At 38.6% G+C, this 26,747-nt stretch overlaps 1 protein-coding gene across 16 annotated transcripts in view; it reads left to right on the forward strand.

The window, feature by feature from the left end:
• Positions 1–26,747, forward strand: part of PARD3B (par-3 family cell polarity regulator beta) — a 1,074,688-nt gene that overhangs the window by 874,152 nt on the left and 173,789 nt on the right. For 14 of the 16 annotated variants that reach the window (XM_047443208.1, NM_001302769.2, NM_057177.7 and 11 more), the window contains one exon: positions 20,744–21,046. The exons of the other annotated variants lie outside the window; for them this stretch is intronic. In XM_047443208.1, the coding sequence (XP_047299164.1) occupies positions 20,744–21,046 (303 nt within the window). The remainder of the gene's footprint in view (positions 1–20,743; positions 21,047–26,747) is intronic. 16 annotated transcript variants of the gene reach the window in all.

Consider the following 26,747-nt stretch of genomic DNA (forward strand, 5'->3'; position numbering starts at 1 on the left):
CTTTAAACTTCTCAAGTTAGTAATTATCCCAAAACTTCATTAATCTGCAGTCTCTTCTGAACACTCCACTAGCCAGGAGGGAAACGGGGAAAGGGGAGAATCAGGAAGAAATAAGAAATGCTTCCCAGTGCCAGGCACATAGTAGACTCTCAGAAATGTGGATTAAATGGATGAGGTCAGGTCACAGCTAATATTTAGTTACTTCATTGTGATTCCTCCATACCTCAAGGGTTACAGGATGAAAACTGCAGTGGAGAAGGATGGTCTTCAAATGATGTCCCTCCCTCTTCAAAAAAAAATCTGTTCAGTGAATGTGGCTAAAGCAAATTAAAGGATTCATATATTTTCGAAAGATTTGCGGCCAAGAGATTCGAACCAAAAGCATTTGCTGCTTTACTCTCAATCAAGCAGAAAATTCAATTAACCGTAACACACCTGGTCCCCTGAGCATTCTGGCCAATCCAGGTTATACAGCATTGATTAAAAGTATCTACTCTCTGTCTAGGGTTCCAGGTGGAATTGAGAAGGAGCTAAAAGAAGCTGTGTTTATGCTTTTCAAGAGCTATTAGTGGTGTGTGCATGTGAAGACTGCATAAGTATCTCTGTTCTCTGCTCTCTCATCTCCCCTGTCTCAGATGTGGATAACTGTTACTGTTATTCCTAACAATTGCTATGTACGTGCCAGCCACACTCTTCTAATAGCTTTAGTAGTATTAGGTCATTTAGCCTTTTTCCTTTGGGGCAGGTACTATTATATCTCTCATTTGCAGGTGACAGAAAGGTTAAATAATTTGTCCGTGGTACAAAATTAGAAAGTGGCAGAGCTCAGTTTCCATCCCAGGCTGTCTGGCTCCCTACATCACCTTGCTTTTCCATTTCTGAAATAGCAGAGTGTTCACATATCCATCAACACCTGCAGGTCTACTCTGAAAAAGGCTTTGCTTCAGTGGAACTGTCTGGGTGAGGAGGATGCTGCCTCCCATGAAGATCTTAAGGCAGAAATATAAATGTAAATTTTGCTCATTAAAACCATAATTAATTTATTGAAAGTGAATTGTTATTATTTCAGGGATGAATGCATATTGGAATATGCTGATTATTTTAATGAACCAAGAGCCTCTTCTGGGATACTTCCCTTGTATTATTTGCAAGCAGGTCACCGTAAATTTTCTAAGAGAGAGAATGAATAGATTGCTGCTCATTTTCAAGTTTTGCCTTATGAAAAATGCAAAAGAGGCTGGGTGCTGTGGCTCACGCTGTAATCCCATCACTTTGAGAGGCCCAGGCGGGCAGATCATAAGGTCAAGAGATCAAGACCATCCTGACCAACATGGTGAAACCCCATCTCTACTAAAAATACAAAAATTAGCTGGATGTGGTGGGGCGTGCCCATAGTCCCAGCTACTCGGGGGGCCAAGGCAGGAGAATCACTTGAACCCGGAGGGAGTGAGCCAAGGTCATGCCACTACACTCCAGCCTGGTAACAGAGCAAGACTCCATCTCAAAAAACAAAAAAAACAAAACAAAAAAAACGGAAAAGAAAATATGTGCTGTATATTGGGAGATGATAAGACGATATCTTTGTTTAGGAAAGAAAGGCCTAACATCATCTGTTTTAGACTCACTATTCTCCTCTAGGTGGCCATTTCTTGCACTACAGATGTCAGCTGCCGGGACCAGTTTGTGTGGTGCTGTGCCTACACAATGCAGGCACATTGCAATGTCTCCAATATAATTGTTATGTTTAACATTTAGAGCCATTTATGTGGGTTTCCTCTCCTGTGTTCCACTGTATTCCATTTTTAATCTCCTCAAGACACACAGTAGAAAAGCTGCCAGAATTTGTTTTTTCTCTTCATATGTTATAGGGTCTGAGGTTTCATCTTTCATATTTCCACATTGCAGGAAAGATGAGCAATGACATATTGACCAAGGCTGTGAATGAAAATAGTGCATACCTAAATACTTCTCTTTAGGTCTCATCATCAGTTCCATTCATTCATAATCAGCATTAGTCTTCTATTGCTGCTGTAACAAATTACCACATACTTGGTATCATAAAACAACATAAATTTATTCTCTTAACGTTTTGGAGGCCATAATTCTGAAGTTAGTTTCACTGAGCTAGAGTCAAGATGTCAACTGAGCTGATTCCTTTTGCAGACTCATTGTCATTGGCTTTTACTTGGCTGCCTATGTTCCTGGCTCATGGCTCCTTCTGCCATTTTTAAAGTGCATCTCTCCAATCTCTGCTTCCGTTGTCACTTGGCCTTCTCTCTCAGACCTTGCTTTGTCTGTTTCCATCATCACATTATTGAGTGCCTACTGTCTGCCAGGCACTGTGCTAGATATTGGAGTTCTATCAATAGACAAGTCAAACAAGGACGCTGCTTCCATGAAGATTCCATTCTTGTAAACAGATAAATAAAAAAGATAAAATCAAGTAATGATAGGAGTATGAAGAAAATAAACTAGAGCAATGTGATAGAAAGATGGGGCTGGGAAGAATGCCTAAGATGCCAAGATTCAATCTCAGCGATGAGCCAGTCACAAGAAGTCGATTTCAGACAGAAAGAACTGCAAGAGCTAATCAGGCCTGAGGCAAATAAAGCTTTGTAATTGGAGTTGAATAACTAAGGGAGAGCGTGGCATAAGCCAGAGTCACAGAGGAGGCGGTGACCGAGTGGATAGCGTCACAGATCATCGTAGGGAGCTTAGATTTTATCTAAGTGTTAAAGGAAGACATGAAAGTGTTATAAGCAGAGAAACAGTTAAATATTTACTGTTTAAGAGATTGTCTGGGCTGCTGTTTAATGACTAGATTCTCCATGAAGGGAGCTATCTGGCCACACCTTGCCTCCCTCTTAAAAAGTATGTTTCCTTACTGTGGTTACATAGAGCCTGAATAAAATCTAAATCTTAGTCATGCAGGTAATTGAAGGATGTTTCCCCACATCTAAAACTTAGACCTCTGCAGTACCCTGCTAACCACAATAAAAAAAATGCCAATTCTTCCCTTTTTTCCAACATTTTATGGATCCATTAGCAATTTGCAGTTCCCATAGGAGATAAAACAAGTCTCTTTTCAAACATGAAGAGATTTCCTATGGTAATTATAGGCAAAACCTGGAGCAAAGGGCCACTAGGTAGGCCAAGGAATAGGGAGCCAGCTGAGTGATGGAATGCCATGGTCAGGACTGAGAATAGGCCCTGAAAAGAATAGCTTGGTGAAGGGACAGTGAGGGTAGATCAGACAGTAGGCTCCCATGGACAAACAGTCATTGCCTATCCTAACAAATGAAACATCCTCATTGTAGTTCTCAAAACTATGTGCAAGTAGCATATGGTCGTCTATAAAAGCCTCCTTCATACTCCTTGACACCCAGGTTTGAACTGATGGCCATGGTAGAACCTTTCTCCTCGACATCCAGTGGAGTAGGAATGAGGTCATTCCTGGTAGTCATCTTGTGCCCTAACTGCACAACAGTCTGACAGAATCACCATAGACACAGCAGACATCATCTGGATTAGCTTGTTGGACCTTCTCTGATGGTTGCTGAGCGGCGATTGCCTAAGGCAAATGTTGGCCCAGCCAGTGCTGTGTCCTCAGTGTGCATGCGGTAGAGGGAGGAAGACCAGATGATGAGGATGCTCACCTCAGGCTTGGACCCCTGTTAAGGAAGACCCTATCACTATCCTTTTGGAGGTAGGAGGGGACCTTAGTTTGCAGACCTGACGGACAAGCCTGTGGTTCTTTCACCTGATACTCATGTGTCCCTGGTCCTTTTCATCTAGCCTAGTGCAGTTCTAAGTACTTAGTAAATACTCAATAAATGTTGGAATCAAACCAAATTGGCTGACATGCCCCATTTCTTGGCATATGCCTGGACATGTGAGAATATTCTATATGGTTTCTCCAGAACAAAGTCCCATCTTAAGAAGCCAAAAATGGCAAGCCTAATAAGCACCATAGAAAATACTGTGGTTTACATATGTTCATTGCAACCCTATTCACAATAGGGTTCACGACATGGAATAATATTCACAACATGGAATCAACATAAATGCCCATCAGTGGTAGACTGGATAAAGAAAATGTGATACCTATACACCGTGGAATACTCTGCAGCCATAAAAAAGAACAGGATCGTGTCCTTTGCAAGGACATGGATGGAAATGGAGGCCATTATCCTTAGCAAACTAACACCAGAACAGAAAACCAAATACCACATATTCTCACTTATAAGTGGGAACTAAATGATGAGAACACATAGAGGGGAACAACACACACTGGGGCCTTTTGGAAGATGGAGGATAGGAGGAGGGAGGGGATCAGGAAAAATAGCTTATGGGTACTAGGCTTCATACCTGGATGATGGAATAATCTGTACTACAAAGGCCCATAACACAGATTTATCTATTTAACAAACCTGCACTTGTACCCCTGAACTTAAAAGTTTTTAAAAAAGAAAATACTGTAGTTGAATACAATATTTTTGCTGACCTGTTTAAAGCCTTCTGCGTGAGTTGGATAGGAGGGAAAAGACTGTACCCTCTGTGTCTTTTTAAACTCTCTATGATGCAGAGAACGTGACTTTTCAGAATATGAGTGCCCTATACCTTTGAACTAGATGGAAACCTCAGGTATGAAGGGTCTGTGTTTATCCCTGTCCTAGGTATAGTCATGGTTCTATACTTAAGGTGGTTTTTCCGGGCTCTGTGGAAGTCGGTGGTACTTCTAGAGCTTTTCATGATCCCAGAGTTCATTTAATGAAGACTCTATGTAACCTGGGGATGAGTGTCCAGGGCCTTGGGAAGTGTGGCATTTAGGGCCAAGAAAACAAAGGAAATAGAGCAGCACATGCTGTGTGGACAGCCGTGATCCCCATGCTTCAGCACATTTTTATGTGAGTCGGCTTTGAGAGATAAAGATCAAAGACTTGTCCAGGAGTGCACCAGCCAGGTGTGAAATTCCAGGTGACAGAATGGAAAGAAAAGAAAGGTTTAAAGGGAAAGGAAAGGAAATGTAGTTAGTTTCCTTTTATTCTCTTTATTTTTCCTGTTTCCTCTTCAGGAAGTTTATGTAGCTTACAATACCCCAGACATTCAACAGAAGGGGTTGATCCTCATTCTTTTCCAGATAATGATAAGCACCGAGGGCCTGTCGTTTAGTTTTCAGGTATAACCCTTGGCAGTCCCTAGGGTTAAACAATGCTGTGCTCCAGAAAATTTTAATACAGAAAACTTAGTTTGCTTTCTGCTTTGGTCTGTGCTACAAAAAGTGGGCAAATATAAACTGGGAGAATATAAATAAAATAAAGGCTACTTCTTGCCACTTACAAATGTCATTAGCAATAAGAATAAAGCACATCAACAAGTTACAAATTTTATCCAACCGGCAGGGCTCCCCCAGGGGCAGATTCTTACAGCTCTTTCTTCAGTGTTAGTTTGGCCAGCAGCCTAGGGAACATCATTTAATGTCTTCAACACTAATGACACCTTTTGTAGGGGGACTGTCTAGGATTGTTATAAAGGAATTAGTTGTTATCAGAGAATATCATAAGCACTCTGTAGGTTGTTCCCCGTCACATCCCCACCTCTCTTTGGGGCTAATTTTCTAAGGAAAGCTAAAAATGTTTACTAAGCATTTCTGAGAAACTTGTCTACATTATGAGAATAGAAATTACAGGAACTCAGTGCATTAGCAATGGGAAAGGCTTAATGGGTCTGGGAAAGGTATAAATTTAGGGAAAATGTAAATTGCAATAGTTGGAGAGCCTTCAAGGGCAGTTTTCTTGAAATGGCAGTGTTTAGTAGCAATGGAAAGATACTCAAGGATCTTGCCATTTGGCATTGTAAAAAATGCAACTCGTAGGTAGGAATTGCAAATCCCATTAGTTTAGAATATGAAATAGACTCGGTGTAAAAAAAAAAAAAAAAAACAACAACATTTGATTTGGGGAATGTGCTTGGTTCCAGGCCATGTAGGATATGGAAGTCTTTTCTGTGGTCATCCCACCTAGACAAAGAACCAGTTAACTTTTCAGGATTCTCTAGAATTAGGATGTTCTGAGTCCACGCCTGACTCTCAGAAGCTTCCCAAACTCTACTGCCTTGACTTACTTTAATGAGCATTTAGGATTTAGAGAAAAAGAACATCAACATGCCCTTTGCTCCATGATCTTTGGCAAACCATGGACTGTATAAGCACAATATCCACATATTGGATTCTGCAAACCATGAAGAATTCACCGTGTTATTTGTGTGTGCACAGAGGAAAACATAAACAAAGAGTCAATTAATGACATTAAAAAATTTGCATGTCAGTATTATAGAATGTCAAATTTACTGTACAGAAATATATGTATTATTTTTTTATTTATATCAAGAAAAGTGATAAATTATCCCATCAATCTAGTTCCCTTACAATGTCAGATCTGGTTTAGGCTGACAAGAAAAATGGGCGGTACTGAAGGAGATCGTTTAGAAAATATTATAGACACCCAGAGAGGAATGAGGCAATGGTGAAAAATATTAATGCAGTTAAAATAGTTTTGTTGAAAAAATGAAACATTGATCACAAAGATTGCATGTAACATTGTATTGGCTGTTCAGTATAATAATTTTAATACTACTACTACTAATAATAATAATAATAGTAAACTCACATTGTTCCTGACCAGGTACAGCTTGTAGCTTTAAAACTGCATTGATAGGGAAAAGCTGAAGAAACTGAGCCTGTTCTCTGGAACAAAGGATAATTATAGTGACCTAATTGTAGCTTCTATTACAAAAGCAGAAATGATAGCCAGACAAATTATCTCTGCTGTCAATAAAGAAAGCTGTACAGCAGGTAGTTTATAATCTCTTTTAATGATACTACTTCTTTTACCCCAGAGCTCTCCATGAAAAACCTTTTCTGACCTCGACTACCATTACCACTATAGGGAGCAAACCTCCTCTTTACTCTCTGTTCATCTCTGACTCTGTTGTTTGGGTTCATACAGTAGCAACAAAGAGAATTTCACTGCCTACAACTTCCTAGCACTGGCCAAGTCAGTCAGAGCTATGCTATTGTGGACACATTCTGCATGAGACAAAATAAATCAAGAAATAGTATGGAAAAGTAGCAAAATGTTCTAAGGCTTTTGAGGAGTAGAAAATATGAAACACTAATCAATAATCATTTAATGAATCATAAAATGCAAATGAGAAAATCAGAAAATATAGATGCAATTTATACCACAGATAAAGTGCTAATATTGCTCCTATTCAAAGGCCTTTGAAAAATCAAGGGGGAAAATGGCTAGCAATCTGATAGTAAAATCAGCAAAAGATATGGACAGCTCACAGAAGAGGAAATGAAAATGGCCCTTAAGCATATGAAAAGATACTCAGCATCATATAAGAAGAGATAGGCTAATTAAAACTTCACCGAAATATGACTTCTCACCTATGGTTATCAAATTTCCCAAAGTTCGACAATGCACTCTGTTGATGAGACTGTAGAGAAACAGGCATCCTCTTACAGTGTAGGTGGCAATGCAAAATAAAAGAAATGTGGAAGGAATTTTGTCATAATCTAGAAAAAAGTATATGTGTGTTTCTCTTTGACCCAGCAATCCTGCTTCTGTGAATTCCTCCCAAAGCCACAGTGGTAACAATATGGACTGACGTTTGCACAAGATTTTTCATTATGACATTATTTGCAATAGCAAAAAATCAGAAATACCCAAATGTTCGCAAATGCATGACTCGTTAAATAAACAAAAGCATGTCCACACAGTAGAATACTATGAAGCATTTTAAAAATGAGAAAGATATCTAAAGAAATTGTAGTGTCTATGATTTCTTTGCTAATATGGAATGTTCTTCTGTCTATTACTATGTAAAAAAGCAAAGTATAGAAAAATATGGACAGTATGCTACCTTTTGTGTAACAAAGAAGGCATCTAAATATATAAACATGCTTGCTTTTTTTAAAGAAACAAATATAGTTATATTGCATGGGATGGAGAAGACAGAAATGAAAGCTATATATTATATTTTGCTATATTTAAATTTTGAAAAATATGCCTTACATATAGCAAATTAAATAAAAAGGAAAAAACAATCCCTAAAAACTGAAAACAAACGAAAATAAATAACCTAACTGTGAAACAAATTGGTTGCATAGCCATTCAGGAAAAAGAATTACTTCAAGTGACATTAGAATACACGTTTTGATTATACATATTTAGTGTAATATATTCTAGCAAAAAAATAGAGCAATGAAGACATCTTAAACTTTAGTAGTCAAACTGTTAGTAATTGCTGTGATCTGAATGTTTTTTTCGCCATCCCCCCAACTCTGTTCCCCACAGCAAATTCATATGTTGAAACCTAATCATCAGCGTGATAGTATTAGGAGGTGGGGCCTTTGAGAAGTGAAGTGCTCATGAATGGGATTAGCGTCCATATAAAAGTGGCCCCAGAGGCTGGGAGTGTGGCTCACACCTGTAATCCCAGCACTTTGGGAGGCCAAGGCAGGTTGATCGCTTGACCTCGGGAGTTTGAGACCATCCTGGCCAACATGGAAAAAACCCCATCTCTACAAAAAATTACGAAAATTAGCCAGATGGTGTGCACCTGTAGTCCCAGCTACTCAGGAGGCTGAGATGGGAGGATTGCTTGAGCCCAGGAGGCAGAGGTTGCAGTGAGCAGAGATTATGCAGTAGCATTCCTGCCTGGGCAACAGAACCAGACTCTGTCACAAAAAATAAAATAAAATAAAAAGAGGCCCCAGAGAGCTGCCTCACCTCTTCTGCCATGTGAGAGATCCAGCAAGAAGTCAGCAATCCATCCTGGAAGAAGGCCCTCACCAGAACCCAACCATGCTGGCATCCTGTTATCAGACTTCCCAGCCTCCAGAACTTTGAGAAATCCATTTCTATTATTTATTTATAAGGCTTCCAGTCTATTTTATTATAGCAGCTTGATGGGACTAAGACAATAATATTGATATTATCATTTTAAAACTATATGATAAAAATAATTATATCAGTGTTAAGAATCAAGATTTTGCATTTAAAGGAGGGAGGAATAAATATACAATATTAAAATTTTAAAAGTAAAAATTCTGTAATGTTAAATTTGAATCAGAAATATTAGTATAAACATATGGGCTTTTTTTCCCCCAGAAATATGTATTTCCTAACTCTATTCAGAGAAAAGGCTGAGAAATAATAATAACCCAGTGGCAGTGAGCACGCCTAGGGCCCAGATTGTGGTCTCTAGATATCATTCCCCACTAAAAACAAAGGGGTCCTTGGAGGAATGACTGCTTCCAAATTAGGAATACAAGATACTCAACATAAACCTGGAACTACTTATTTGTGGTAAAGCAAGGAAGCAATCAAAGGCTAAAGGTTAAGCCAGAAGAACGAAAGAGCTCATACAATGCAGTCTCTTGACTAAATATGGACAATATGTGCAAGAAAAAGTATAAGGAATGCAATTGAATAAAAATCCTAAATATGTTATTACAAATGTGTATTATATATTATGGACTTACATAAAAAACCATAAGTTTATAATTATGTTCACAATCCCGTATTCCCCCAAAAATGTTCCTAACTACTCGTTTGTCACCATTGGAACTATCTAGGACACTAACTCCTGACTCTGAAAATTAGCAGTGAAAAAGAAATATTTAAGCATTTATTCAGATTTCCCAATACTAAGTACATCTCACCATAATCAAAATGCCAAAATTGTTGAAAGATTTTCTTTGCAGAAGAATCCCAGCTAATACATTTTTAAAATGGCCTTCAAAAATGACCATTGTGCAACCCCTAATGAAATAATTAATTCAGTCAAACATCATCAGTGAAAGAAATGATTAAATGAAACATTGATAGGGGAACTTTACAATGGAGACATCAGTTTGTCTCCTTAGCATTACTAAAGACAATCAGATATTTAGGATGGAGAAGACAGAGATGAAAGCTATATAACTGTACTTTGTTATGTTAAATTTAGAAAAATACACATTTTTCCAAATTTTTGTGTATGACACAATTTGAAGCATATGTGCTTCCTTTAAGGTATTTATATTGGTTTCATAGGGCCGCCATTTAACAGATTACCATCAACTTGGTGCCTTTACTACAAATTTGTTCTCTTACTGTTCTGGAGACCAGAAGTCTGAAATCAAGGTGTCAGCAGAGTTGCTTCTTTCCAGAGGCTTTGAGAGAGAATCTGTTCCATCTTCTTCTGTGCTTTTCTTGGCTGCCAGCAATCCTGGGTGTTTCTTAGCTTATAGACACATGGCTCCAATTTCTGCCTCTGCCTTCACATTGCCTTCTCTGGCTCTTCTCTTCCGTTTATGTCTTCTCCTTTATAAGAACATTTGTCATCAGATGTAGAGCCTATATGGATAATCCAAGATAATCTCACAACAACATCTTAAACTTAATTACATGTACAGAGACCTGTATCCAAATAGGATTGCATCAACAGATTCCAGATGGATATACAATTTCCCTCGATATATAAGTGAGGGGCCTGCAGAACTCACTTATATGAAAGGTCTGCCCTCCATATATGCAGGTTCCTTATCCCACAAGTACCATATTTATCCGGGTTTAGTTGAAAGAAAGCTGTGTATAAGTGAACCCGTGTAGTTCAAACCCTGTTGTTTAACGGTCAACTGTCTGTTTTAGGGAGCCACCATTCAACCTACCAGAGTACTCCTCCTCAAAAATGTTGAATCTAACTAAGCCTCCAGATGCACTGTCCAATATGATAAACGTTAGTCACGTTGAAATTTAATTCATTTAAATTTTAATTAAAATTTTGTACCTTAGTCATACTAGCCACATTTCAAGAGTTCAGTATCCATGTGTAGCTAGCGGCTGCTGTAGTAGATAGCTCGGATATGGAAGATTTCCATTTCCATCATCACGGAAAATCCTATTGGAAAGCACTGCTCTAGAAGTTACTCTTCATAAACAAGATATTTGGGGGGATGGAGGAATAAGTTAAATCATTTCACAAGAAAGTAAACAGAGAAATCCAGCACATGGGACCAACTACAGGAAGATCAACTTGGTTTCCGCAATAACCCAAAGGCATGGAAAAAATAAAAAGCAAAAAGGAAAAAGAGTACAGTTCAGTACATTTAATGAGACTTAAGAGAACACCAAATGTAACGTACAAGCATTTTTACAACCTGATTCAAATAAATCATCTGGGGAAGACAGACATTTTTAAGGCATTTGGGAAAATTTGTTTATGGAGTATTAGATGATACCAAGGAATAATTGTTAATTTTTAGGTGAAATAATGGCATAATAAAACATTCATGATATTTTGATATGCCTTTGGAAGTATGTAGGGGGATTTACTTTCAAAATGCTTGGTAAAAAATTAATAGAAAAATATATTTAAAATATGACAGAATCTTGATTTTATTTATTTATTCATTTAGAGACAGAGCCTTGCTCTGTTGCCCAGGCTGGGTGCAATGGCACGATCTTGGCTCACTGCAACCTCCACCTTCCAGGTTCAAGCAATTCTCGTGCCTCAGCCTCCCAAGTAGCTGGGATTATAGGCATGTGCCACCACACCCTGCTAATTGTTGTGTTTTTAGTAGAGATGGGGTTTCACCATGTTGGCCAGGCTGGTCTTGAACTCCTGACCTCAAGTGATCTGCCCATCTTTGCCTCCCAAAGTGCTGGGATTACAGGCATGAGCCACCATGCCCAGCCCGAAACTTGATAATTATTGAATACAGAAATGAAACGTATATGGGAGCTCATTGTGCTATTATCCTACTTTTGGATATCTGAAAGTTTTCATTATATCAATTTTTTTTTTTTGAGACAGAGTCTTGCACTGTTGTCCAGGCTTGAGTGCAGTGGCGCTATCTCTGCTCACCGCAAGCTCTGCCTCCCCGGTTCTTGCCATTCTCCTGCCTCAGCCTCCCGAGTAGCTGGGACTATAGGCGTCTACCACCACGCTCAGCTAATTTTTTGTATTTTTAGTAGAGACGGGGTTTCACTATGTTGGCCAGGATGGTCTCGATCTCCTGACCTCGTGATCTGCCCACCTCGGCCTCCCAAAGTCCTGGGATTACAGACGTGAGCCACCGCGACTGGCCACATCAATTTTTAAAATGTGATCATGTTTAGATTATTTATAATCTAACATAAATGAAAGAAACATTAATGTTGAAGACAAACACCTCAACAGAATTCAATAATTCAATTCCTACCATTTAGTAAATGTTAGCTGTCAGGCAAAGTGTGTAGCCTCTCTAATCTCAGCTGCTTCTTCTCTAAAGTTAAGACTTCTGTACATTATGAGAACTGTTATATAATCATGAGAAAATATATCACTAATATTATTATTGATGTCAGTTCATCTTTTTAGGTAGATGAAATACTGGACAGGATGGGCTCTTGTGTGTTGCAAACTTTTCTATTTTGAGGCATTTGAAGGGCAGTCTTAATTACAGAATTTTGTTTTTAAACCAGTTTTATTTTTAGCTCATGGATCCAATTGCTTCTTACCATCTCCAGTGATACACCTGTATGGACAACCACCACCTTCCCTCACCTGGCTTATTGTAATAACCCCCTAACTGTTCTCCACAGTTTTTCTCTCACCCAGAAATGCCCACTTCACTCTGTTCTCAACAAAGCAGTCAGAGAGCCCTTTACCATGTAAGTCAGAGCCTATTACTTCACTGCTCGCAACCTCTAGTTTGCTTCCCACCTCACTGAGAGTAAAAACCGAACTCTACCATGGACCTCCAGGCCCTGTTTGCCCTAAGTCCCTGCTTCCTCTCTGGCCTCCTCCAAATTCTCACTCCCTCACACTGGCCTTGCTGTTTTTAGCACATGCCTGCCTCAGGGGCTTTATATCTGCTGTCTCTCTACCTGGAACACTCTTCTCCTGTTATCTGTATAGTTTAATTATTTTCTTCTTCTTCAAGCCTTTTATTTTATATTTTCAGTAGTGCCTTTCCTTTAAGTAAATTTAGTGCCTTTAAATAAAATTAATTTATTTAAACTTTAATTAATTAAAATTTTGTACCTTGGTCATACTACTCACACTTCAAGAGTTCAGTATCCATGTGTAGCTAGTAGCTGCTGTATTTAATAATATATATTTAATAATGTAAACTCCCTTCAAAAACTCCTACTACCTCTTCCTGTTTCACTTTCCCCTATACTACTTACTAAAAACATATTTTTTCATAAAGTACCAATTTGTAGGCCAGCCTTTGATGTTGACAATACAAATCATTCTTATTGATTCATAAATACCTCCTCTAAAGACTAGACAGCTTGTTTTACATCTATTACAAGTTTCTGCATTCATCATTCAAAAAATTTTGGAAGTGTTTTGGTTGCTTGAGAAGGGGTGTGTTTGCTTAAGGAATTTAAATATTTTCCCAGCAATTGTATTCTGTTAATTTGTTATAATAACTGCTTTTAGATAATGCATTTAAAAGAGAATTATATATAACTCAATTTATAAATAATGAATCTAAATTTGTTAGTTTATAAAAGGTATAAGTAGTATAATCAGCATTTTTGCCTTTTCTTTTTGTGTTTTCTTTTTAAATTGAGATATAGGCTGGGCACGGTGGCTCATGCCTATAATCCCAGCACTTTGGGAGGCCAAGGCAGGTGGATCACCTGAGGTCAGGAGTTCGAGACCAGCCTGGCCAATATGGCAAAACCCCTTCTCTACTAAAAGTACAAAATTAGCCAGGCATGGTGACAGGCACCTGTAATCCCAGCTACACAGGAGGCTGAGGCAGGAGAATCACCTGAACCCGGGCAGTGGAGGTTGCAGTGAGCTGAGATCACGCCACTGCACTCCAGCCTGGGCAACAAGAGCAAGACTCTGTGTCAAAAAAAAAAAAAAAAAAAAAGGTAAATTGAGGTATAATTTACATAAAGTGAAATGCTTAGCTCTTTGAAAACAGAGTAATATTCTCTTTTCTCTTTTAATGAATGTATGTCAAATTACAGAACATTTCTAGCACCCATGGATGTTCCCTCATACTTTTTCCCATTCATAGGTAAAAGCCTGATCTAGAATTGCTTACAAATGGAATTATATAGTATATAGTAAATCCTTTTTTCTGTCCAACTTCTTTCACTAAGGATGATAATTTTAAGATTCATCCCTGCTGTTGGCTATTTTTGTAGTTTATTTCTTGTTATTGCTGATTTATCTTCTGTTGTGTGCATAAACCATAGTTTGATTATCCATTCTCCTGGTGATAAACAGCTGAATTTTATGTCTAATTTTTGCTATGATGAATAAAGCTGCTACTGAACACTCTTCGTGGATTTTTGGTAAACATATGTCGTCATTTCTTTTTTCAATTCACCTGAGGTGAATCACTGGGTCCTAACATCAGTGAAAGTCTAGTTTTGAAAGAACTCCTAGACCTTTTCCAAAAGGGATTATGCCATTTTATACTTCCACCAGCAGTGTGTGAATGTTCTGGATGCTCCATATCCTTTCCAACATTTGTTTTTGTCATTCTTTTACACTTTAGTAAGGACATCTCATTGTAGTTTTAATTTGCATTTCCCTGATGATGTATGATACATTTTTCATTTGCCTATTAGGCATTTCTAGTTATTATTTATTTTTTCATTGAATGATAATTACTTGTTTATGTCTCCCTTGATAGTAAGTCAGAGACTATTTTTTGCTAGTATATAGTATAATGTCAGTAAAATATTGAATAAATTAATCTGTCAACCAAATATTAGCAGGAAGAACACTCGTGACGCATTCAAGGAGCCCGTAATCTAGTTATGGAAGCAGAAGGTCTAGAAAAAATCATAAAAGTTTTTTAATTGGTTTTGTTTTCTACAAAGTGACATATAACAGTTTCATATTAATAGAGAATTTACTGGATGTATGAGTTGAAGAGGAGACAAAGAATTGTTAAGGTCATTGTGGAGCTGTTTATGAATAAGTTAAGTCCTTATGCCAGAGAAAACTAGAGTTAAATATTTGATTAATGGGACATGAGTAATATTAGGAAAAGCAGTTGATTTAAAGAGACCAAATAAAAGTTCAGTGAACAATAATTTGAAGAAAATTGTCATAACTGAGTTGACAAAGGGATCATGAGAAATCAAGTTTACAAGAAATAAAGATGCCTTTTGGTACAGGGTATTTAATGTTTTCAAAAACATTTTTATTCACTACAACTTGTAGTTGTTAGGAAATTTTTTATATTTTTTAAGTTTTTAAAATTTTCTTGGGGAGGGTGGGATGGGGGTGAGAGTTGAGAAACTACCTGTTGAGTATTATGTTCACTATTTGCATGATGCGTTCACTAAAAGCTCAAACTTTAGCATTATGCAGTATAACCATGTATACCCATACCTGCACATGTACCCCCTGTACTGAAAATTAAGTTAAATTTATTTTTTTAATTATCTTAAAAATATAGAAAATGCAAATAGCACATAAGGTATAAAGGCTACCTCTAATTCCACTCTCTAGATGCAACCACTTAGGAATTTTTTGTGTATTCTTCCAGACATTTTCTATGTATATGTGAGGATATATATCATATAAATATTTATATGTGTAGTACCCTCACCCTTACATACATCATCTTCTTTTTAGTATAGGAATAGTATGACCCTATGTTCTACAGCTGCATAATACTTTTCTATATTCCCCTGTTAATGCATATTTAGACTGTTTCCCATCTTTTACTATTATAATAGCACTTTGTGTGTTTTTCTTTTTGATACCTGGGATCCTTTAATTATAATAAAGAAATTTATTCCATTTACATTTATTTTCATAACATAAATTTGGTCAACTTATTTTTTTGTTACTTTCTTTTTTACTGCTATCTCTTTTTTATTTTCTGCTATATGGTAAAGAGTTTATTTTGTGTATTTCTCTCCTGCTGAAAATTTGGGTTTTAGTGGTTTCTTTGTAATTATATTTAATATATTCAAACCTCTGTTTCTTGATGTATCAATTTTAGACAGTAACTACTGATGCCTGCTTTATAAAGTGAGAAAATGAAGAAGGGTGAAAATAAAGATAGGGTACTCTCTCCCAAATTACTTCCTTATTAACTTGTGATTTTCATTAGTTTTTTCTATATTTTATATTATCAGAGTTTATAATATTTACATTTTTTCTGTAATTATTGTTCCCACAGATATTTAGTCTTAGTTTTATATTTAAATGAATGTATTGCTTACCTCCAGACCTGCTATTCCACAGCTTCACCATTATCTTAGTCCATTTTTGCTGCTATAACAAAACCCTGAGACAGGGTAATTTATAAAGACAGAAATTTATTTTCTCATAGTTCAAGAGACCGAGAAGTCTAAGATCAAGGTGCCATCAGGTTCAGTGTCTGGTGAGGCCCTGTTGCCCATAGATGGTGCTGCCTAGGTTTCCTCATTTGGCAGAAGAACAGAACAATGGAATAGCAAAGAGGGACCTTAGCTAGTGCTCTGTAGCCCATTTATAAGATGTTAATCTTTTCACGATGGCTTAGTCACTTCCCAAAAGGCTTAGTCACTTCCCAAAACCTCCTCTTAATACTACCACAATGGAGACTGTATATCAACACATGAATTTTGGGAGACATTACCGCCGTAGCAACCATGTTGAATTCTTCATTTTGATGCAGTTCTTAGTTTGCTGTTTTCCATTATTAATAAGTTTTTCAAGATGGGTCAATAAGTACCATATTCCCTCTATGTTTTCAAATGTTTGAGAGTGTTTTTCTTTTATTTGTGTTAGAGGCCAGCATGAGTTTGCCTGCATTTGTCGATTACTTGATTTTCCTCCTTGAGACAGCACTTATGCTTACTATATGCAATAAGCTCTAACATTTTCTTTTACTGTATTTAAGTATGACCATTAAATTTATATTATCTTCTACGGAAGTTTTTTTTAATTTTCTTTAAAAAAAAATCTGTGCTAAAATATAGTATTAAATAACATGGGCATAGTGGTCTAAGGTTACCAGCAGCTTCAATTCTACATGATCTCTCAAAATACCCTTTTGCCAGATTTGCTGGGTACTCTGCCCTGGTGGCTTCTTTTCTACGGTTTTCTGTTTTGGGAGAGCTAGTCTGAGATCAGCCTACTTCTTAGTGAAGTCACCTAGATTACTGGTCCTATTTTGATGAGTCTGGGTTATATAACTCTGCTAATTCTGCCTATCAGATACAAAGCAGGTTCATACTTCTCTTTTCTCACTACTTCACCTCCATGAAGTTTTTTTTTTTTAAGGTGGGAGACCTGCTCAGGGGAAATATCTCTCTTCTGTCTCTGCCTCTCCTCCATTCTGAAGCTGGATCCCCACAAAGAATTACCGTACAATTCCAGGGTCCTATTCCTATCCTTAGACTATATTAAAGTTTATTGACTGTACCCCTCTAGACTCCCTCCTTATTTTCAGTGAAATGTATACATGGCTGGAGATGCAGCCATATATCGACTGGTGGTGCACTCCGCCTTTAGGGCTGAGTCCAAGTTTCATAGCAAGGCATGAGATTATGGTCGTTTTCTAATTCCACTGTAGATAGAATTTTCTTCCCAATTTCTCAAGTGTTTGTTCACATAGAGTTTCAGGGAGGGAAGTAGAGTCACTTACTTGACTTCATCATTTATTATCATCTCTTATTAGAGATCCTCAATCTGACAGATATGACAGAAATACTCTTTAAGGAAGATTATTCCAGAGCCTTTTAAGGTATATATTAAAGTGGGATGAGGTGACATACCAAAAACTCTCAGAATAATCTAGGCCAGTACAGTCCAATAGAACGCTCTGCAATGATGGAATTAGTCTCTATTTGTGTTGTCCAATATAGTAGTTACTAGCCACATGTAGTTACTGAGCACTTGAAATGTGGTTTGTGAAACTGAGAAATTGATTTGATATGAATTATTTCAAATTTAATTTTATAGGGCCACACTCAGCTAATGGCCATTATATTGGACGGTGCAGATCTGGGCAACATAAAAGTCTGAACATTAGACTGTGATGAAAGAAATGGAAATAAAAGAGGATACCCAAGAGGTGTTATGGAGAAAAGAAGCAGCAATGTTCCCATAGAGGAAAAGAGAAAGAGGAGATTTAAACAATTCAAACGCAGTTTGCTCAGAAGAATGGGGAAACTGGTAGTACCGTCAAATAAAAAAGGGTATCTTTTGAAAAATAAATATTTTAACAGGTTGAGTTCCCAGTGGTAAGGAAACCTCTAAGTGGAAATGACTATAAACAAGTAAAATTCTCAATGAATTGGGGGTGGGGGTGAGGGTCAAAGCTACCAAAAAAAAAATTTCCTTGACACTTCCGTCTTGGTCTCTTCTGCCACCATACACTCCTTTTCAGAGATTACCTTGTCCTCCTCAACATGGAGGGACCCTGATATATGACATAATAATGATTGTTCAGAGAAATTACTATTTTACCTGTTGAATGATTAATATGAAATTAGTTACTGAAACACTCACTGGTGCAGAGTATCAAAGAAACGGTTTTGTTTCAGAAAGGAAAAATATAAGATAAAATATTGCTTGGCACAGACGTAGTACTTTTCATCTGAGATTCTCCACGTACTCAGCAAGTTTAATTAATGAGAAAACCTCTAAGAAGGAAGTGATGAAATAAGGAACACAGATACCAGTGTTCTATTTCTGTGATTTTTAAAAATCAAGCTTAGTATTTTCCTCTTCCATTAATGCACACAAGTATTGCCCCATGAGGCAGCCATGAGATATTCATCTTTCTGCTGAATGATTTCTCTTGAAGGCATCTCACTTATGAGGGATAGCAACCACACAGAATCCTACCCCCTAACTTTATTGATGTCCTTTGCTCTATTTGCAATGGAAATCCATCCCTATCATCAGGGTGCAGCAAGCATTCTCTGATAATCGAGTCTGCACTGTCTCTGGAAAGATTGTTTTGTTGCAGAATGGAGCAGGTTATCTTCTTTATCAAAAATTACTTAAAACAAGCATCCATGAATCTAGGACTAACAGGCATTGAAAGGGAATAGGCAAGGCCCTTAACGGGTACCCTACTGTGTAATCTTCCTTTCATCTTAATTCAGAATCCCTTGGAAATTCAAGTTGCCGTATGCAAAAATATAAATTCTTCTAATTACTTCTGTGTAGGGCACAGGTTTGGCCTAATCAAAAGAGATATGCAATAATATATCCTGGCATTTGTTTTCATCTGTTGTAACTTGAGGATAGGTGCTGGGGTTTTGTTTTGGTTTTGGTTTTGGTCTCATGCCTTCTTATTCTTTTTGTTTTGTTTTTTGCTTTTTGCTTCCCAATTGAAATTGCCCAATTTCTTTTCTGCTCCTTACTCAGAAAAATAAAAAACAAAAATGTTGTTCTGCCAAAAGAGAAAAATACCTCAGAAAATCCTGCGTTCTAAAGATTTTTACAAATGATTTGATGTTTTGCAAAATAAAACTAGCTTCCATGTGCAAAACAGCTGTTTTTGTTCGAATAGGGGAAGATACTGATGGGTTTCAGTTGTTTTTTTAACTCGTCCTGGCCTCCCGTATGTCTCCAGTCATATACAGATCATTCACTTCTAGCCCACAGCCCTCTTATATTCTCTGGGCCCAGGACATCAAGTTTGTCCCATCTATTCTTGACTTTCTTTAGCCGCCTGAGCCAGCATCGTCTTATCTCTCCTCTTGTACACAGTGCCCCTTCTTTGTCCAGTGACAAGGTTTACACTCTTTTCTCATTAGTGCTGAAGACCTCCTCACACCATCAAGATCACCATTGTCCAGTAAGAGGCTATAGTGACCTTTCCATTTTAATACATTACTGAGAATTTAGTAGAGCTGATTTAACACTTTCCAGATTAAATGTCAAATTCTCAAAATTCAGATGGATTTGGAATCCACCTAAGTATATTTTTCTGCTTCCATTCCCAGTAGACTGCACAGTGGCACTGATTAGCACTAGCATTTTGTAATATCACTTAAGGCTTTAGCACTGTGGAGTTCTGCCAGTAATGGTGTTTAATTCACTTATATGTGCCAATTCATCTCTGTCAGGAACCTATTAATTTCTTCACTATTTTACTCTGTCCCTAGCGCCTATATAATGAGACACAATAATCCCCATTTGTATAACCAAAAAACTTAGAGTCTCTTGTAAATTATCCCTGATCCCACTGCTTTTAGTGACCAGAAAGCCTCTGTATTTCTTTTTCATATTTAAATCAATTTTCACAAGTTCCTTTCTTTAGAAGAATACACAGGAACTCTAGGGCACTAAATTACTGAAGTCGTAGAAAAACTAGAGGATTTTGATGAGTTTGTTAACATGCATCCCTGTCCCAAGAAAGGCTTCTATAATATCGAACCAAAGATGCACTGTTCCCACAAGCACATGCCATCTGTGGGGAGGGAATGTGAATGAAAACAGCCTCTGAAGCTACTATCAGCCTAGTCATCAGTGGGCAAGATATCAAAATACCCATAGCATTGCTATCAAAGTAAAGACCCTGTAACAAATAAAGATCAGATATATAAAATTAATCTTCTTATGCTGTTGGCATTTCTGCATGCTGTGATCTTGAGTAAACAGGAGAATGACAGCTAAGAGACGAGGAAGAGTTAACATAAATTCAAGAGAGTATTTCATTGTATTATTATATGAAACTCACATACATCTTTGCTACCTGTACTGTATTTTTCAGGATTGGAGCAAAACATCAGGAGCTAAGGGAAAAGCAGGCAAGAGGTCTTCTTGATTATGCTACTGGTGCAATTGGATCAGTGTATGATATGGATGATGATGAAATGGACCCCAATTATGCCAGAGTGAACCACTTTCGGGAACCATGCACATCAGCAAATGTCTTTAGATCTCCATCTCCCCCTCGAGCTGGACCATTTGGTTACCCTCGGGATGGCCATCCACTGTCTCCAGAAAGAGACCACTTAGAGGGTCTCTATGCCAAGGTCAACAAGCCATACCATCCACTGGTTCCAGCTGACAGGTAATAAACTTAGTGAAAGATAAATGTAGCTTTAATTCAGTATGTTTCAAATCATCTCTACTGCTGAAACCGATAAAAAATGTCTCCTTCAATCAATTAAAACTGAAACGAGTCAGTACCCTAGACAAGTGCCATCCTTTGACCGACCTGTAAGATATCCACCATCAAAAATAAAACAATAGCCAATTGTAAGGTGGCATGAATGAATAGTAGTAGCAGAGTTCATGATGCAATAGGGAGCCATTTTTGAAGGAGTATTGTGACAGACATCTCATGAAGAAAACTTTGAACGAATATTGTCCTTTCTCCTAAGAGACCAATTGTAAAAGATTTATTCAGGAAGATGGCATGGCACATGGAGGTGGAGAGTCAGAAAAGAGAAGATGATAGCTTCCAAGTAGGTGTAATTGAAGTGGGAATTACAGAAAGCTGCAGAGGAGCAGGGGCCTTTGAAAAGTAAGATGGGGGTTTTGTACTCAAGGGAAAGGTGACCCTGTATAGATATTCATGGATGATCAGAGGTAGAAAAAGAAATAATCTTGGCAATAGGAGTTTGATGAAGTAGAGAAAGATAAGAGGTGACAAGTCCACAGATCTTTAGGTTTAGCAGCTAAGGAGAGAGATAATAGGACTATCTGTCAGTACAATTGAAGTAGGTAGAAAACAAGATGATTCCAACCCCACCTCCTGCCAAAAGTAAAATGCTTCATGTCTTGAAAGACTGATGTAAGAGAGTTTTAGTCGATATACATTGTTAGGTGACCCTTGGAATTACACATGCAAGGAATGAGTTGACTGATCTTGGACTAATCTGACTAGCTTGACGTCTGGAGGGAGGTGGTGGGGAAGAAGGGTAGCAGGCACAGAGGGCTCTCATTCTGGATGAAGAAAAGACTTGTTTTCCAGACTTCTTAGGGTCCTGACAACCACCCAGTCCCTATTAGTAACCAGCCTTTGTGTGATGGCATGATATATTGCATATGTTTACCATTTACATTTCCCCAGCTGGGTGATATTATGCACTTTCAATTAGGTTGGGGAGAGGAAGGGAAATCATGGCATTTTTATGCAGACTGTAAAGTGTAGCTTCAAAAGACTGATTACCTTTCAGAGCCTTTCCAATAACCAAGTGGGAAGGAAGGAGCAATTTTTAATCCTTACTGTCAGGCATCCAGGTTGATAATATTAAAGAAAGATGGTGAAGTTTTTCTTTGGGACAAAATGAAAATATAAATTTTTATGACTGTGATATAGCCATAATAACTAAACTGCTAATTCAAAGAATTGATTAAGAGTTGGATTTTTCTCCCCAGCCTTCATAGAGGATTGAATTTTATTGTATAAATAATAACACCAGGCATGAGTCTCTTCTCACCCAAACCATAGTCAATCTTACCTTCCCTAAATTAGATAGGTCTTCATAACAATCCTCTCTGCGTATTCCACAGCTAGAATCCCAACACAGAGGGACTGTTTATAGGAACCTCTTAAGCCAGTATTTTCCAATACTAATTCCATGGAAATAAATGTGAGGCATTTTATAAAAAAGGATTCACAAGTCCAATACATATGGGGAATTCTAGGAATTCTAGGGTAAGCCACAAGGAACAGGTTTTCCTTTTTTTTTTTTTTTTTTTTTTTTTTGAGACGGAGTCTCACTCTGTCGACCAGGCTGGAGTGCAGTGGTACGATCGCGGCTAACCGCAACCTCTGCCTCCTAGTTTTGAGCGTTTCTCCTGCCTCAGCCTCCCGAGTGAGTAGCTGGGATTACAGATGCCTGCAACCACGGCTGGCTAATTTTTGAATTTTTAGTAGAGACAGGGTTTCACTGTCTTAACCAGGCTGGTCTTGAACTCCTGACCTCATGATCCACCCACCTCGGCATCCCAAAGTGCTGGGATTTGAGGCATAAGCCGCCGGGCCTGGGAAGAACGGGTTTTCTTATTGCAGTCTTTTTATGCCTAATATGCTGACATGCATTCTGAGTTTCTAAGAGGACCATCCAACAACCAGCATGCATCATCCCCCAAATTTTTGTCACCTAAAGCATATGTTTCCCCCAGATCTTTGGAACACTATTTAGGAAACTCTACTAACTAATCTATGTCGACGTGACCAGAAAATAAGTTTCTTATGATAATCTTAACTGCAGCCACTATAAAATGATATTTAAAAAATTATTGACTGCCCAGTCCAGACATATGTGTAAAAGAGTGTTACTTTTGGCTCTGACCCCTTTATATTAAAAGTGATCTAAAGCTGCTTTCAATAGAGTTTTCACCGCTGTCCTATTTTTGGATAGCAGATCAAAATGTGACTCTTTATACTCAGAATTATCTTTATCCTGCTCTTATCTTTAATTATGCTTAAAGACTGCCCTGCTCCTTGTTCTTCAAGTCTTCAAGCAAGCCGATTTTGTCCTGGCACATAGTAAGCATTCACTAATGTTAGGTATTATCATCATCATTGTTACTATTATTATTACTCTCCTTTTTCAATGAAAATCTGAACTTCCCTGATATGCCTGTGCCCAGATAAGTCTAAGAAGAGTTGCTATGGCAGTTTCCCTAATAGTATCCGTAAGCAGGAACCTACAAATTCTAAACATACCATACGTACTGTTAGAGGGCAATGCCATTCATCCATTCATCTTTTCATTCCTTCACTCATTTAGTAAGTATGTATTTGACACCTAATGTGTTCCAACTACTATAGAAAGCTTTAGGGAAGATAGAGAGATGATTAAGAAACAGTCCCAGGCCAGAAGAGGTCATAATCTAGTGAATAGAGGACCAACACATGTAGAAATGGATCATTGCATTGTCTTGTAAATAGAAGGAAAAGAAGTTTTTCCTTTCTAACTCTGCCTAAGCTAGTCAGGAAAGTCCTCCAAACAGAGGTGATATTTGAACTGGCTCTAGAAGGCTTAGTAAGACAGGAGCAATTGCAGTGGAAGAATTGTTTTCTTTGCAGAATAATTAAGCATGCACAAGAGCAAAGTGGCCTGAAAGAGCAGGCCTGTTAGGGGAGCTCAGAAGCACCCAGACACGGAGCATGGGTGGGAAGGAAAGTGATAGGAAAAGTGGCTGCAAAGCAGGCTGGGGTCAGTTTGTGATTTAATGGGTTGTATCTTAGGCTGCTACTTATTGATTGGTAGTGGCTGTCCAGAAATCTGTGTTAATGAAGGTCCTGAGGCAAGGCACAGTATAATCCCAGCACTTTGGGAGTCCGGGGTAAGGGGGAATCACTTGAGGCCAGGAGTTGGAGACCAGCCTGAGCAATATAGCAAGACCCCATCTCTATAAAATATTGTTCTTTCTTTTTTTGTGTGTTTGAGTCTCACTCTGTCACCCAGGCTGGAGTGCAGTGGCATGATGTCAGCTCACTGCAACCTCTGCCTTCTGGGTTCAAGTGATTCTCATGTCTCCACTTCCCAAGTAGCTGGGACTACCGGCACAAGCCACCAACCCGACTAATTTTTTGTATTTTTAGTAGAGACGGGGTTTTGCCACGTTGACCAGGCTGGTCTCAAACTCCTGACTTCAGGTGATCTGCCCCCCTTGGCCTCCCAAAATGCTGGGATTACAGGCATGAGCCACCATACCCGGCCTCTACAAAAGTTTTTTTTTTAACTATCCAGGTGTGGTGGTATGCACCTGTAGTCCAACCTACTCAGGAGGCTGAGGTGGGAGGATGGCTTGAGCCCAGGAGTCCAAGGCTGTAGTGACCTGTTGATTGTACCACTGTACTCCACCCTGGGTGACAGAGAAAGATCCTGTCTCAAAACAAAAAAGAAAGGTTCTGAAGTTATGCCTGAATAAGGGTATTTTTCCTGGACTCCAGAATGATGCGTGGTAGCAAGTGTGTAGTGGGTTTTGATGTATTTGCCAATCCCGTAGACAATGGGAGCCACTGAAGCGTCATAATTGGGGAATGAGCTGATGGATTTGTGTTTTGGGAAAATAGCTCTTCCAACTTGATGGCAGACAAAGAAGAAGATGGTTAGACTAAGAGACAGAGTAAGAGATGATTACAGTAGTAAATGAGGACAGGAGCTTGAAATAAGAGAGTGGCATTGGAGACAGGAGAGTATAAGAAGCAGCCCAAAACTTTAACTTAAAACAAAGACAAAGATGTTTAGCAGATATCACAGACATGAGGCTTTCAAATGCTTCAGAGAGCTCAGTGGAATAAGGACTAAAAAGAGGGCTTTAGATTTGGCCACTAAAAGGTCATCAGTTAATTTAGAGAGAACAGTTTTAGTAGCTAAGTAGGACCAGAGGGAGAATTATAATGAGAAGAGAATTGATTAAGAGGTGAGAACTTAAGGAGTGAGCTCTTGGTGACAAAGAGAGAGCAGAGTTATAGAATGGAAAAGTTGCAGCTTTGAAGTTCCTTCTGTGACAGTATTTCAGAGCTAACAAGAGAATTCAGAGACTGTCTAGAGTGACCTTCTCATATGATTACTGCAGAAACTGGGGCCCAGAGAAGATGAGTGACTTGCCCAAGGTCACACAGCATGGAATCAGGACTTTATCCTAGATCTCTGTGTTCTACAGTCTTCTTTTCCCTACCCCACACTATGATATAGACCCACACTCTCATTTCCTGCTTGACGAATGTATTAGTCCATTCTCGCACTGCTATAATGAGATACCTGTGACTGGGTAATTTACAAAGAAAAGAGGTTTAATTGGCTCACAGTTCTGCAGGCTGTCCAGGAAGCATGATGCTGGCATCAGCTCAGCTTCTCAGGAGGCATCCACAAACTTTCAATCGTGGCAGAAGGCAAAGGGGAAGCAGGCAGGTCTTACATGGCAGGGGCAGGAGCAAGACAGAGAGGAGGGAGGTGCTACACACTTCTAAACGGCCGGATCTCACGAGAACTCACTCACCATTACAAAAACAGTACCAGTGGGGAAATCCACCCCCATGATCCAATCATCTCCCACCAGGCCCCACTTCCAACACTGGGGATTACAATTTGACATGAAATTTAGGCAGGGACACAGATCCAAACCATATTAAGGAAATTAGTACCTGGATAAGTAAAGAAGCATCCATCTGGGCTCCCAACATATAATGGCAGATTAAATCATGGGTATGGGAATGAAGCTGATATGGGTCCAGTCCACTTCCAAATACTGCTGCATGAGCTGCATGACTTATCCAAGATGCCATTTTTTATTTTCATGCATTTAATTCAACAAATACTTATTGAGTATCCACTAAGGGTCAGGGCCTGAGTTCAGTACTGGACTCACCAGGGAACTGGGAGGAAGATGACTATGCTGCCTTCATTATGGATATTAGGATCCAATGGCAATACAAAGACCTAAACATGCAGTGAGAACACAGTGTGGAAAGTGCAGCCGAAGAGTAAGTGCAGGGTACTGTTTGGGGCCAGGCAGCAAGGGTGAAAACAGAGGGGAGAGGAAGCATGATGTGTTAGGGGGACTGAAAGACTCTCAGTAAAATAGAAACCTGGTGGGAGGGGTAAATGGAAAGAGAGAACATGGGATGGCCTCAGAGCTGACCAAAGGCAGATGAGAGAGGTTGGCCGGCCTTGACGAAGAGTTTGGACTCTATCCTGAGGGAGGTGGGGCAGGGTTTGGGTTGGAGAAGAGCTCGCTGAGGGGAAGAACTCACTGAGGGTTTTAACGTGAGATATAATCCTGGAATTCAATAGGCTGTTTAATAG

The sequence above is a fragment of the Homo sapiens genome, chromosome 2 (genome assembly GCF_000001405.40).
Source record: "Homo sapiens chromosome 2, GRCh38.p14 Primary Assembly".
Taxonomy (NCBI): Eukaryota; Metazoa; Chordata; class Mammalia; order Primates; family Hominidae; genus Homo; species Homo sapiens.